Source organism: Homo sapiens, chromosome 13 (genome assembly GCF_000001405.40).
Source record: "Homo sapiens chromosome 13, GRCh38.p14 Primary Assembly".
NCBI lineage: Eukaryota > Metazoa > Chordata > Mammalia > Primates > Hominidae > Homo > Homo sapiens.
The window spans coordinates 108,960,561-108,976,696 of NC_000013.11; the positions used below are offsets into that span (position 1 = coordinate 108,960,561).

General features: G+C 37.3%; 1 protein-coding gene across 7 annotated transcripts in view; it reads left to right on the forward strand.

The window, feature by feature from the left end:
* The window catches only part of MYO16 (myosin XVI), a 712,290-nt gene that overhangs the window by 464,845 nt on the left and 231,309 nt on the right, over window positions 1-16,136 (forward strand). For all 7 annotated transcript variants that reach the window (XM_011521062.2, XM_047430183.1, NM_015011.3 and 4 more), the window contains 3 exons: window positions 979-1,096; window positions 1,864-1,935; window positions 4,201-4,342. In XM_011521062.2, coding sequence (XP_011519364.1) covers window positions 979-1,096; window positions 1,864-1,935; window positions 4,201-4,342 — 332 coding nt within the window. The remainder of the gene's footprint in view (window positions 1-978; window positions 1,097-1,863; window positions 1,936-4,200; window positions 4,343-16,136) is intronic.

Sequence of the window (16,136 nt, forward strand, 5' to 3'; positions counted from 1 at the left end):
GTATTGTTTCCACTGTGTATTTATAAAGCACATCAGCATTGTTCTTAGAACCGCTTCCACAGTAGTTAGGGAAGGAGTTTTTGTTCTCAAATTACAGATTAGGAGACTGAGAACAGAACAGGCTATGCCACTTGCCCTTCACGGGGCTCAACCTGTTTTACTGTTGATATCATCATGCTAAATATTTGACATTCTAGAAAAGTACAGTTTAACTTGCAGCTTTTTCTTGATTTTTCATTCTTGCCAAAAAATGACTATCCAAAATCAAATTTAAGGTCTCATTTTTTTTATGCAGCGTTCCAGATTCTCTTTCAGCATTCTCTTACTTCCTGCTACCCTCTGCTCAAAGATAGCTCTTGCCAACATCCATTTTTTTCTGTTTTCCTTAAAATACCTTAAAAAACAATTAGCATTTTTTGAGTCTAGGCACAGTTGTTTTCATTAGGCCTCCTTTAGTTTTTCCAGGAGAAGTAAACAATTCTGTAATCATCGTGTTAATTTATCTCATAAGAGAGATAGCGAAGAAATGAACACCATGATGTAGGTTCTTGAATGAAGCGGCCACAGCAACTGCAAAGTCTAAATAGCGTCCAACGTGAGCCTGGAGAGGAGGGGGAGTGAAGTCTAACCTTACAAGTGAAGCCCAGCCAGTCAAACCCTAAGCACACAATTATTCATTTTTGTTATTACAATTATCTACAAGCTGTTAATTTATATCAGAATATTATTTCCTGACTCTCTTATATTTCAGGAACAGGAACATTGATTTAGAGAAAATATGTTTTGAATTATGAGGTTTTGATGTTGAGGTAGAGACTGGTAGTTTTCTTGCCATATCGAACATTTGGGATCTGCAAACTCCCAACCTCATTAATAGGGTCATCATTTTTGTAACTTACTTTTAGATATTTAAAAATTTTGCCTTTTAATCTTTCTTCTAAGCACCCTATTCATTCTCTCTGTTTGTAAAATGCATAGGAGGTGGAGAATCTGTTCGTAATTCTAGCAGCAATATTGCACCTTGGAGACATTCGGTTTACTGCCCTGAATGAGGGGAACTCCGCCTTCGTTTCTGACCTCCAGCTCCTGGAACAAGGTCAGTGGAACATGACCTTCTGACATTAACCACATTGATGTGCAATTTTGTAGATCTACCAGTAGATGGCGACATAGTACAGAAAAGCCAGTTGGCTTAAACCCTTTCCTCTATAGTAGAATTCAGTGAGGGGGGGAAATTGTCTACTTTGTTTTTTCTTAAAATCTGTTGTGGAAATGAGTAGCAAGATGTACTTTTATGTTCTCATTCTGTGCACCACATTAGCAACACTGATTCTTTAGCACATACTTGTTGTTTATTTATATTGTTCTAAGTACCCTTCACCCCACTACCCAGTGTATTTTGGGAGCATGTTATTAGCTCAACATTTTAAACAGAATGTAATTAATTCCCTTTCAAAGATCTTGCCAAAAATCTCTCTCTTTGAAGTTGCCTCGTTAGTCGCTCCCAGATTTTTAAAAAATACCTTAAAACCACAGATTGTCAGGAAACAACATATCTTCACCTATATCAAAGAGATTTAACCAGGTACCTGGAAAAAAACAATTCCATACCATCTGTGAGGACAGGGAGGAAAAACATCCGCTGTGATTTAATGCACAGAACTGTAAGAACTCATTAATATTTTGATTACTGTAAGATGTTTCTCTAGTTGAATTTGACAATTACAGTGGTAATGACTTTTTAAAATACTCATGTTTTGTAATGTGCCTATATAAAACTTATCAATTATGGCCATAAAATTCAATGTTCTTGGTATCAAAAAATATACTAACTTTATGTTTATAATGCTGATTTAATTTTAGTGGCTGGAATGTTACAAGTATCAACAGATGAATTGGCATCTGCCTTAACAACTGATATTCAATATTTTAAAGGTAATTTTTTTATGCTCTAACATCTTTGTGCAATTTAGAATCAAATATGAAAATTAAATACAGTTTGACTTGTCCCCACTTAGTGAAACTATTTCTATGAATTGAATGCCAAATGAGGAAAGCATTCTGAGCCTGTTTGGTCATTTGACATGACTATAGTGTAGACTCTTTATGCTCCTGAGAGACCATTTTGCCTAACTGGTCACCCTTTCTAGATAATCTGTCACCTTAGAAAAACAAAACCATCAATCCAAGAGGGTTTCTTCAAAGAAAATATTGGATCCATTTGCATGTGTGGTGCCATGCTGCACTCTTCAATGAAGGACCAACCTTTTCCTGCTACCTCATTGGTTAGAACAGCTGTCATTTATTGGACATATATAAACTGATAGGCATTGTGCCAAGTCCTATAAAAATTGTAGTGTTTGAATTCTCACAGATTGCTCTGATGTGGGCATTACTATTTCCATTTTAACAGAGGGGAAAACTAAAATTCAAATAAGTTAAATAACTTTGAACCTCAAATCACTAGTAAGTGACATGTTTGGAATTAGAATCTAGCGCTGTCTGACTCCCAGATGACATGCTTAATCTCTATGCTACATGCATCTCTACTCAGTGAACAAAGAGAGTGGTTTTCCCACATGATCTTCAAGTACTCACTCTAAATGATGGCCTTACTATTTTCCTCTTTATTGTGATTGTGAGAACTCACCATTCATCTAATCTTTTTTCTCTAAATCGCTACTATTCTTTCTCTATGGCCTTTTGGGCCTATGTGCATGTATTTAGGTAGGTGAGTCATTATTCCTGCCTCACTTCTACTCTCAGAATATCCCCAAACGTAATGAATCTCCCCATTGTTCACTCAGTTGCCCAAAAGTTATACTTGATAGCTCTTTCTCTTCTACCTCCTCCATGCATAGGTCAGACACACGCCATAAATATCTCCCATTCCTACTGCCTTCCCTTCATTTTCATCAGCACTGCTGAATTTATCATTCTTTCCCTGCCTTACAGCAAGACACTCCTGGTTCCTCTTTTATCTCACCTTATCTCAACTTGCCCTCCTTCCACACTACTTCTGAAATAATCTTTCTGAAATGCAATAGGCATTTCAGGAATAAGGCCAACAGTCTTTCAAAGATACACCAGCTCATCACTTTAGATGGCTTAGGAGGCCCCACTGGCACCCTTGCCTCCAGCCACACTAAGCATCTTGAAGACATTGTTCTTCTTCGCACCTTCTTTTGAGAAACATTGAGCTCACTATTAGTATCTATGATTTCCTCTGCTTACACCACCCTCACTTGCTACCACCACCCTGTGGGTGACCCACCTGCCCTCCTCAGTCACATGGCTCTAGGAACGTCAATTTCACAATGTCATAAATGGCCACACCCACTTTCACTGCCCCTTCCCCTTGTGTTGTTCCATCTCGATGGCCTTGAACTTGCAGCTCTCTGACTACATTTTCCGCCAGTATCAGTAGGTATCCTTCCTCACCCGTGCTTCTAACAGATTGGAAACACCTCAACCCGCATTGCACGTGGACCCCGCCCTGTTCCTAGTCTCCTGCTCTGCCTGAGACGCAATGGTCAGCAAGTTTGGCCAAGGCCATAGAATATGAATTCTAGGCTCCCATTCACACTCAGCCCTCCTGCAACAGTGATGGGATAGGCTCAATGCCAAACCACCCTTGCTCTTTTTTCCTTGGGCCCACCTCTATTCTAGTCCCTTCCCCAAACCTATCACTCAAGAGTTCAATCACTGTCTCTTTGAGAATGACATAGAAATTCCTACCTAAGGCCCAATCTTCTTTCCAAACTCCAGAACCACATTCTTGTTGATGAGATCATGCCTTTGAAAATATTTAAAATATATCTGATTTTCCAGAAAGCCCGTTTCCACATGCCTTAGGATGATTCAGTATCCAAACCAGTGAGTTGTTATCAAAAGCCTTGCCAGGAGGGACCCTGTGAAGAACTGTTTCCCTAACTGAGGTGAAATTACACAACCTACAATAAAGGTGGAACGCTGTGGTCAACAATTCTAACAAAGAAGATTGCAATGTACATGACTTCTGCTTTAGGAAACATTTTGCATAATAACTGACGGAGACCTCATTTATGAGAATCCGTATAATTTTTATACATCACTTGTCTTGTGGATGTGTGGGGAATTAATAGGATATGTGGAGTTTTGGTTGGCTTCTAAATGAGGGAACCCTTGTGCTCACTCCTCCTTTTCTTTCTACCATTTTAGGGGATATGATAATACGACGACATACCATACAGATTGCTGAGTTTTTCCGAGACCTCTTGGCCAAGTCCCTGTACAGTCGTTTGTTTAGCTTTTTGGTGAATACCATGAATTCTTGCCTCCACAGTCAAGATGAACAGAAAAGGTAGGAGTTGATGGATGTTCGGTTCTGTTGTCATTACTGTAATAAATAACTTAAAGGCTCAACTCCAAAAGCAGCTTCATATTACAGGGTAACCAATAAGTTAAACTTCATTAATATATTTTATTTTAACAAGGTAATCTGACTTGATGGGTTTTAATGATTATTCTTTAGGAAGTGAAACCCTCTCCCTGGGGTACCCTCCCGTTTACACTGATGAATTAATAATTTCCTATGCATAGATATGCAAATGCATTCTTTATGGACTGAAGGTAGATGTGGCCTTTTGTGCACCAATAAATCTAAAAATTTTATAAATCCAGGAAGAAGACACTCTAAGAACAGGTAAGGCACTGGAATTTGTGGAGTAACTCATGCCTCCTTCGGAACCTATTTCATGATGGGTTTTGGATCAGTAATTCTTCATCTTATTTCTTCACTTATTTCGTGGATTATGGATAGAGGGTCTCTATGGTAATCATTTTGGTTCATATCCCTAATCTTTTTTTTATTTTTCTTTTTCTGAGACGGAGTTTCACTCTTGTTGCCCAGGCGGGAGTGCACGGGCACAATCTGGACTCACTGCAACCTCTGCCTCCCGGGTTCAAGTGATTCTCCTACCTCAGCCTCCCAAGTAGCTGGGATTACAGGCATGCGCCACCACACCCGGCTAATTTTGTATTTTTAGTAGAGATGGGGTTTCTCCATGTTGGTCAGGCTGGTCTTGAACTCCTGACCTCAGGTGATCCGCCTGCCTCGGCCTCCCAAAGTGCTGGGATTACAGGCATGAGCCACTGCGCCCGGCCCCTAAACATCTTAAACAGTAGATTTTCAGGGCTATTTCATCATCTAAAAATTATATCTCTCCATTACATATTATCAGTGGAAAACTTTCTTGTTATTCTTGTCACTAATAGTGACCTTGAGCAGACAATTGAGAGCACAGTCATATTCACAAGTCTTCACGTACTTGTCTTCGAATGAAACCTGAGAATTTCTTAGTCATCCGTATAGACTTCTTAAATTTAAATTAAATTCCTGAAAATTGATGCCTTTAGAGGTTTCTTGGAAAACATTAGAACTAATATATATTAATGGGAAAGTTCTTAAATAAATATAGACATCTCAGAAGATTTCAAAGACAAGAGGACACTGAAATTCTTATTAAAATGTACACATCTCAAATCCCACTGAACATTGATCAACATATTCAATAGTCTGTGATTTGAGAGTAGCTATGGTATAATCCATATTTCAGCAGAAATATTGTAGTATTTACTATGATGAGGACTCTTGATTTTGCTATTGTTTATTGTTATCAGTTAATTTGTTAATTTCCTATAAGTATAAAGATGATTCACAGAATGATACTAATATGCTAAATCTACCAAATTAGCTATGTATAAAATTATTGACAGCTCTGCTGAAGTTGACACTGAAAAAATGAATATATAAGTCCAGCTGTACATAGAAACTTCTAGAAAATTTTCATTTGACATTTAAATTTTACAGAGCCTTAAATTTATATAATTGGAAATACTTATATAATGGTCTACAGTTTTTGCTACAAACACACACCCAGAGAAAAACTACAAACATAAACCGTGGAAAACACATTATTTGTCTTTGCATGGGAATATTGCCACTGTGGCAATGTGTAAATTCATAAGGATGGTCTTATCTTTTAAAACTTATTACTAAGCATATGAATGAGAATAGAGATTAATGGGAAATTAGAGGTGAATCAACACATTAGAAGTTTGACTTATAAGAGACAGTATTCTCATTTCTGTCGTAACTCCCATATTTTCTTCTCTATTTCTCCCATGAGTCACCCAAACCTGAATTTAAATCCCCAGATAATGCAAGAAAAGGTTATATTTGCAGTATTTCTAATTCATTTAAATTCATGGAAAGCTTATGGTTTTGCAGATTTATAGGCCCATTTCCTAAGTCACAGAAAAGTCTCAAAAATTTGGATAACCTTAGAATAGGCTCTTGTTGTTTACCAATCCTGTGTTTTTGAAATGTTGTAATCGTGTCAAAAAAGATTATATAAATAAATAATATCCTTATGGTCAAAGTTGTAGAGCACATTGATTGTGATAGAATAGACATATTTTTCACAGTATATATGTATTTATTACTGTATATATATATACACACAGTAAATATACCTTGCGATAGAATAGACATACTTTTCATCCAGACATGTATATACATATAGTATACAGACATGTATACTGACTATATATATGTGTGTGTGTGTGTGTGTGTGTGTGTATGTATTTGTAAATTTGGCAAGAGAGAATAAATATCACTACAATTTACTCTAACAAGTTATAAAGGGAAAATGAGTGAAATTGAAGCAGGTGAATGTCTATTTGTTACACGATGGATTCATTTCTTGGATTACAGTAAAATAGGCCCAATATTAATCATATAGCATTTTAAAATAATTCTACTTTCTCTACCTGGATCCAAATAGGTTTTGCTTCTAAACAAAAACCCTGGGTATCTTGCAGGTGAGGTTGATGCGATTAATTAAAATGAGCAGAAGTGTTTGCCACGTTTGCTGGATCAGAATCCAGTCTACAAGTAATGTGTGGCTGCCTACTGGGGTGTTGTCCTCTGTGAGCCTGACTGCTGTGCAGTGCTTGGCCCGGACCCTGCGGGCTGGGGACCACTGAGGGCCACACGTAGTGGCACTTTAAATATTGAAACACACTGAAATTTTATTTATTAGGCTTAGCTGAAAATGATTTGGTCCAAACAGGTAAAATAATAACAGTAATAAAAAAATAGCAATAATATAATGCCGTATATTTGCTTAAAACTTTGTTGTTCACCAAGCATGTACATGTAAATTACCTGGGGAAGAAATGTTGTTAAATAGCTAAAAATGACACAGTTTATTGTTAAAACGATGACTCTAGGAAAATGGGAAGCACTGCTCACAGTTGTGACTACAGTCTGCTTCCTCACATCTCCTCCCAATGCCCTTCCTGTGGAGAAACTCATGTAAAAACCAAAGGCTTACTATTTTCATCATTTTCTGAGGCATTTCTTTTTCTAAACTATAATTTTATGACTTCTAAAATAAAGGATATTGCATATCATTTACATTTGTATGCGAATGTCATTATTACAAAACTCATGATTACAGTCTCCAGTAACGCAAGCACAGTTTCGCTCCATCCACTCCACCTTGGTCTCCCGCACACAGACAGAGCGTCAGCCTCTCACGGCAGTACCTGTGCTCTCCTCACCGTGTCTTCACCTCTCGTATGCTCCTGCTGCATCAGACACTCATGTGCTCAACTTTGCTCAGTGCTATCATGGTCTTTCGATGAGGGGGGGATTACTTAATAGCACCCATTTCCATCTCTGATTCTTAATTGATTGAGGAATAAGACAATGTAGTAAGAGGCCAGGCACAGTGGCTCATGCCTGTAATCCCAGCACTTTGGGAGGCCAACGCGGGTGGATCACCTGAGGTCAGAAATTCAAGACCAGGCTGAACAACATGGCGAAACCCCATCTCTACTAAAAATACAAAATACAAAAATACAAAAAATTAGCCAGGCGTGGTGGTGCATCCCTGTAGACCCAGCTACTCGGGAGGCTGAGGCAGGAGAATCACTTGAACCTGGGAGGCGGAGGTTGCAGTAAGCCGAGATCGTGCCACTGTAGTCCCACCTGGGCAACAAGAGCAAAATTCCATCTCAAAAGAAAAAAAAAGACAATGGAGTAAGGCATTTGGGAGTCAAAATAGCAATTTGATGAGTGACACAGCAGACATGAGAAGATGCCATTTACACCATGAACCAGTTGCTCCTGCCTGCTGCGCCCCTGACTCAGATCGACATCACCACCAGTTCCAGTAAGCCCTGAAGTGGCCAGTGCCCTCTTAGAGCTTGGAGGAGCAGAGGCCATGACGTGCTCCCCACGAACGCAGGAAGACTGCCCTGAGCCCTCCTTGTCCAGGCTTCCTCCTAGACTCTGAGGGAATAAGTTGGTCTTCCAGAAGCCAAGAGACTTACAGCTAAAGGGGCTTCCTTTTCCTGTAAGAAAACCTCAAGACTGTGAATAAGCATCTCCACCTAGCACATGTGAGTCCATGAACTTGAAAGATTGAGGGACAGTCTAATGCACAAAGGTATGTGGGCTTTGAGACTCCCATTTTGAGTGAGTTGGATCTTTTTTTGTTGTTGTTCTCTAGTGTTTTCGAGAGTATAGCCCTGAACTTGTCTGGCCACTAGGCATATGGAAGACCCATGTAGTTTATTCATAACTTGCCATCAGTTCACATTAAATTGATCACATTTAGCAATGAAAATATAATCTTAAATTACATCAAATTATTTCTAAAGAAAAACTAATAAAGTTGTTAAGTTTGTTTTGACTTTTCTAAAATTGTTTAGCCTCTGCATCTCTGTGAATTGTCAGCTGACACCCAATGACCACCGAAGGTATTAACAAAGTCCTTGTTTAAACCATTTGGAGAACCCATACATAGATTCCCATAATTTCACATATAGAAAATTGGCACCCACTGATGAACAGGGATGCCATGGATCTTCCATTCCACTCTCTTCACTGTCCACTTTTCCCCCAGTGGATCCAAAGGCGTGTGGCCCTCTCTTCCCACAGATAACAGCCATTCTCCCCAAGGAGGCATCACCTCCACTCGGGTGTTTCATGAATTCCACCCAGACCAAAGCCATGCTCTGCTCATTCTTTTTAGGAATTGTGAGGTTGCCAGGGCTTCTTTTACAGTGTTAGCACGTTTGAGAGGCAAACAGCACCATTGTAGGGCTTCCCAAATGAGCTCAATCACCTCTCTGCCCGACTACAGCAATCACATCGAGAACTGCGGATTGTTAAATATTTTTTTTTCTATAGCTCTGAATAGGTTTCTACCCAGGGTTTCACCACTGTGATTTAGAGCATCATCTTAAGAACACACCTTGTGAGACAGAGAGGATTTGGTGTAGAATTTTCTTAACACTTCTCCTCTTTCATGGTCTGTTTTGCCTCATTACTGAAGAAACCCTTTTCCATTTTGTGATACTAGCTGGCTGTTTCTAATGTAATATTGAAAGGCTTCCATTAAGTATTTGCCATTCTTTTGCTTAAGAAAATTGCAAACCTTTGAACCAGATAGCTGGGGGAACACGTTAAAATTACTGTTGATCTGAAAGGGCAGCATTATGGATAATATTATGGTGGCTGCCAGAAATGTGTCTGTTTTATGGTGGTCAACATTATAGGCAGAATTGTTCACAACTTTTCAAACTGAGTTGCCTTATACTTATTTCAGTGTAACCAAATTAACCATTATATGAAACCATTCTCACTTGTTTTGGTGTAACGCTATTAAAAAAGCATGACTTGTGGTATAATGAAAACATGTTTTCTAATGTCCCACCTCCTTTTCACATTTATTCAATGGGGGTAATATTTTTCTGACTCTGAGATAAAACTTAATCAGGTCCCGAGACTTTTCTGGTCACTTTTAAATAAATCACAGTTCTATGGACGCTTTAATCCTGAAATAGCCAGCATTGGAGCAGAAATTAAGTATGTTCAAAGGTGAGAGTTCCCCTCCCTCTCCCACAGGCAAGGCCTGCGGGGGCAGCTGTCATGCTCCTGGGCTGCCGCACCCCAGTGTCGAGGTAAAATAGGGACAGGAACAAGGAGGTGAGGGATTTCTGGACTTGCTGATTGACATCTTAAGGCTTTCCTGGCCACGAACATGGCTGTCACTGACCCTTTCTCTTCAAATCCTCATAAATTGTCATCACTGGGATTCCTTTCCCTGCAATCCTCAAGACGTGTGAAATGCATGTGTGTGTGCTGGTTGCTCCCACCCCCTCCGATAGTCCAGGGCAACCCTTCAGACTCAGGTTCACCTGGCTAATAGGTTGAGGCCCCACACTTTCCCAAGTGTGCCTCTTAGACAAGAATTCTTGGGGTTGAAGGTAGAGAGGGGCTAAAGAATGGGAAAGTGTCTTGAGGAGTTGTACACACTCCAGTTGCTCACTTTTTATAAACAAAGTCCATGATCTAAAGTGTATTTAATTTTTATAAAGGATATCATCCATAGGATTCTGAAATGAGATACATGATTGGAGCTACTAAAGTATAATGAAAAATAACTGTTTTAAAAAAAGATCAATAATTTTTGCAAGCTCTAAAATTGGGCCTATTTTATAACGCAGCACTTACATCCCCAAGATTGAATTAGCAAATGTTAAATTCAATGTTAAATTTAAAATTATTGTTTTTCCTCATTTGAATCCTTCTTCAGGGTTTTGCAAGCACATAGAAGTTTGGGCAAGTACAGGGTTATAGAAACTTTGGAGTGTTCTCCAAATGCCTTCAAACATCAAAACCTATCATTTATTTCAACATCAGTTCTGAATAAAATGGTGTGTGTGTGTTGATTATATATATATATATATATATATATACACATATAATCTACATGTATGTGGATATATTATCTATATCTGTCTATCTATCTATCAGTCATCTCTCTATCTATCTAGTCTACAGTAATCCTATAGAGGGTTATTTGAGTATACTTTTATTCATTCATTCATTCTTGTCAACTTGATATGACATCCACTTTTTTGGGCAGCATAACTGGACTAATATATTATTAATAATGTTAAATATTATGTATATTAATACATTAAAATAAGTTGAGTTTCTAACATATATATGGAGATCATTTTTTCACTAAGCCTTTGGTTTCTTATGAATTCTTATATTACATTCTTATAGTATTTTAGTTGACCTAAACATAAACATTTAAAAATATTATGATTAATCGCATTGATTTCTCATGAGTTAGTTATTTGGTTATCCAAGCCTGTTTCTTTGACACCCAGGTTACAAAAACTTGTTTATTTTTCAGGGTTATTTGAAGGTTAAATGAGGTGGTGCATATTAAGTTGTTAGGAGAGTATCTGACACAATGGGAATGGTGGCTGTAATGATAATAGTGATGGGGCTAGGCGTGGTGGCTCATGCCTGTAATCCCAGCATTTTGGAAGGCTGAGGTGGGTGGATCACTTAGGTGTTTGAGACCATGTTAGGCAACATGGTGAAACCCCATCTCTACCCCACCCCCCAAAAAAATACAAAAAAGTTAGCCAGGTGTGATGGTACATACCTGTGGTCCCAGCTACTTGGGAACTGCTGAGGTGGGAGAATTGCTTCAGCCCAGGACGGTGAGTCTGCAGTGAGTCATGATTGCACCACTCCACTCCAGCCTGGATGACAGACTGAGACCCTGTCTCTCTCTCTCTCTCTCTCTCTCTCTCTCTCTCTCTCTCTCTCTATATATATATATATATATATATATATATATTTACCAGCCACAGCCATCACTATATGTATGTGTGTATATATATAGCCATCTATATATATATATATATAGCCATATATATATATATATATATATATATATATATATATATATATATATAGTGGCTGGTAAGAAAGCATCTTAGTTTATATTAGCTTATTTATGGGGAAGGGGAGAGTTGTAGAAAACAATGCAGATGACTCACATGGTGGACACCCAAGATGCAGCCCAGTCTTCCTTTTACATTTCACTCGTGATCTTTTTGTTTCACAGAGTAGCAGATAAGGGAGATATTTTGTTCTTGGGAAATAGATATATCAGGATTCACAGAACACTATTAGAGATAGGGGCATTGTTTTTTAGTGTTTTGCTCGGGTGTGACTTGTAGTAAGCGAGGATCATCGATTTGCATTGCTCAACTGCCACTCTTTCTCTTAGGGCACAGGTCTGACATGTTTGTAACATGCCTGTCTAGGGTCCAGAGTGGTTTGTGGTTTTTTAGTATTGCAAAAATAAGGTCCACATGGGTTAGAAACAATGATATTTCCTAAACGGTAGGGATTTTTTGTGGGTTTTCTTTTTTTGTTTTTTGGTTTTTTTCTTTTAAGAAAAATAAGATACGGAATGACACAAGGTCCTGCCAGTGGACAGGGGCTCACGCAGTGCCTGAACGAAGGAACTGGCATGCTGAGATGGGGAAGATATTGGGAACAGCGGACAGGTGCTCTGTAGAGATGGGGATCCCATGGAGCATCTGGGAGCAGGTGGGAGAATGAAGTGAAACAGGAATGAAAGCTCAAGGATTTAAGTATAAAAGTAGCAATGTCTTTCACCGAGAAGCAAGGGGTTCCCATTCCAGTATCTGTCTGGAGCCTTAGTTTTTTTGTTTCACAAGTCGAAACTGATTATGGAGGGAAAAAATGAAGGCTTTTGACAATATATCACTTGTGAAATTTCTCAAACTATTAAATCTTCTCTTTGCTACCCAGTATAATTGTATTATGGGTTTAAATAACAGAAGGAAGTATTGAACAGATCCTATACCAATGAAAAAAGAGAGAATGTTTCAAAGAGAGGTGGAAGTCATTTTCTCTTAAGGTTATTATTTGTTTAATTCACATGTTAATCCAATGATTCAATTCCTGAAATCATCAGCAGGATAATTTTTGCATCTTACCACATTTCTAAATTCACATATTTTGATAATAAGGGAAATTATTTTTAAGCCAATGTGAGATTTCCTAGAGATCCAGATTTTCATCAGCACATTCACAACGTTGCCCCTGTGTCCCCAAGTCCGACTGAGGTGATCTGTAGAAGGTGGCAATATTGACAGTGAATCACAGCTTCCTAGGGTCTCAAAACTAGTGACTCCACTCAGAAAAGAGAAAAAAGAACACATCCAGTAGGATGTAAATTAAAGGTGATATCAGTGTATTAGGTGAGTACATTCATCCCTAGCATCTGACAGCACTTAAGAGAATGTTAGTGTCTAAATGAACATAGAGAATCGGCACTAATAAGATTGTAACAAGCAATTTAATATTCTTCAGAAAAATTGTACTTCTTCATTAGGTGAGACTTGTTATCTTTACTTAATTAGAGGGAAAAATATTCCATATAGAGAAAACATAATTATAGCTTTGAAGAATTCTGCTGGCTGGTTAAAAAAAAAAACTCCCAGTGGCATTTTGGATAATCCATGTTTGGTCTGAAGACTGTCTAACCAAATGACAGAAAAGGCTGATCTTTACCTTGATGCTCTGAAAGTGAGGTGAATTAATCGGTTTAAGTGGATTAAGTTAAATTGGCTTACGTTCTCATTTCCTAATTCTGCACTTTGATTTTGTTCTACTAAGAATTCAGTTTGTATACTATTAGTTTTTAATATGTATAGGTGTATCTTAATGTGCTTTTCGGGTATCCAAGGATTTCAAATATAAGAGAATATTTTTTGCTGTTCATATTAAGTGATAGAATTTTCTATGATTTCATATGTCTCTGATTGATACAATCAGGTAGCACTTAATATACTTATGAAACTTTATAGTGTATCTCAACCTCTTCTAGGTCAAGGTCTAATGTGGGAATTCAGTGAATACCATAAACATACACACACAAACACGCACACACACATAAATACAGTTTTCCATATAACTTCTGGGGATTCATTGTTCCTCCTCCCCCAAAAATCCATAAAATTGGGTTATAATAATTTCTTAGTTTATTGATTAGAAAACTAATACATTCTGAATTAATATCCTCAATGTTGTTCATAGTCTCCTTTTAGTTCTTGAGGATTTTTAAGGCTAAGTCTTTTGTATAATGATTTTGTCATTGACTTTGTAAATTGAAGAATTCTATTTTTGTATTTTAGGTAAAATTTGTGATTTTAAAAACATATTCTGAGATACCTCCTAATAGATGGATAACATAATTTTTAAAACAGTAAAATGACACTAAGCATGTTAAGCCTATTTTATAAGATTATTTTTAATGGATTTGATTTTCAGCTCTAAGAGAGTATTTCTCAAGGATCTTGGTCATTAGGGACAGTAAACCAGAACTTTGTTTATAAAATATTCTCTGAGCCTGAAGATGGAGCTAAGGAGGGAACATCTTTCAGCTGCACTGTAGGCAAGCTATTAAAATACCTTTTGAATTACAGTTTACATCTATACTATTTGTACAGATCACTTATGAAGACTTTACCTAGCATCTCATGACTGTTTTCAAATTTCATCTCATAGGTTTATTCATGTATTTATTTATTTGCTTTCTATGCAGGGTGGGTTGCCATTACTTCTGCAGAAAAATTACCCATCTTTACTGTAAAATCCTTGGTATGCTTGCTAAGTACAATAGCATTTGGAGATATATCAGTATGCTTTAAGCTTTGGGATACTGTTTTTGTTTTTTTTTTTATTAAAAAGGCCACTATTGCGGTCTTCAGGGTTCACAATTTTCTCATGTTTTGCTGGATTAAGCATAGGCCCCCAATTCCAGTCAGGTGTGTGTGTGCTTGGGGCTCTATGTGTAAATGCTTGTGATTATTTTATTCTCAAATTATTCAACAAAGAGGTTTTTTATAAAATAAATCAGATGCAATTTATGACTTTTTAAAAGGACTGGAATGTAGCCATATGAGCAATTAATTGTTCTTATAAAGCATAAATAGTAGTTTGCAAGTAATTGAGGTCAACTTGGGCAGGTTAAATCTTTGAGTTAAAACTTTGAAGATTAATCTCTTTCAAGGGACGCAGCCATCAGGAGCATCTCAGGTATGATGAGGGAATTTTTTGTTTTGGAAAATCTCAAAAGGGTGTAAACACCTCATTTTCCCAGCCATGCTTCCTTATAGACACGTCTCCTTTGCTTTACATGAAGGCTTGCCATTATTCTCTCTACCAGGAGCCTAAAGTGGAGAGTACACCCTCCTTTTTGAGGCAGGTGGTTGGGAAATATTTTAATGAAAAAAAGCAGCATGATTTTTTAGAATGTATATGCCTTCCACCCTCCATGTGAAATGGAACTTGTATAATAAGCATCACCTAACTTCACATTTAAGTGTTTTCTGCCCTTTGGGACTATCCATGTCATTAACTAGATGATCTATAATGATTGTTAGTAGTATGGAGTGAGGTGGGATCAGTGGCTATTCATTACAAAGCAGAGACATATTAAAATTAAGTATTTTTTGTCAACCCACATGCAATTCACCCTTAACATTCCAGGAATCATGGTAAGAGAGAATATGCAATGTTTCTCAGTTTTCTGAGGATGAAATAAGTTTAAAAACTTAATCTAAATGGTAGACTAGATGATAGAAAAGCAGAGCAATAAGAAAACATCTAGAAACTGCAGAATAATAAGAAAACTTCCAGAAATTAAACTTTTTTCACTTTTTGATGATAATATTGGAAATTAATGTTCCCAGGAAAATATCTGACCATATGACATATTTAACATCTCCTAAGTGAAGTTTTATCTCTCTCTCTCTCTGATGTGATGTATGTTTTATCAATTGCTGTTAAACATTTGGAAAAGGACAGGAGATATAATCTATTTTCATTTAACAGGGACAAAAACTGGGAAAAAAATTGAAACTTGCTTCTGAAGCAGGGATTGAACACAGATAAATGAATCTGATTAAAACCAAACGTTTTTTATGTATGTTTCCACTTTCCTTGTATCAGTTATTTTATTGAAATGATTATCAAGATTCAAACTCTTTGGTGGGAATTACAAACCAAAGGATATGTGTAAGAAAGATGAGAATCCCAAAATCTAGACCATCCATTTATGAGTAATTGAGTGTTGGTATAAAATACATTTTATGCATTACTGTATCAATTATAATGAAAGTACTTAATTCGTAATAAATGAATTTATGTTTATAATTTTCAAATGCATTATAGA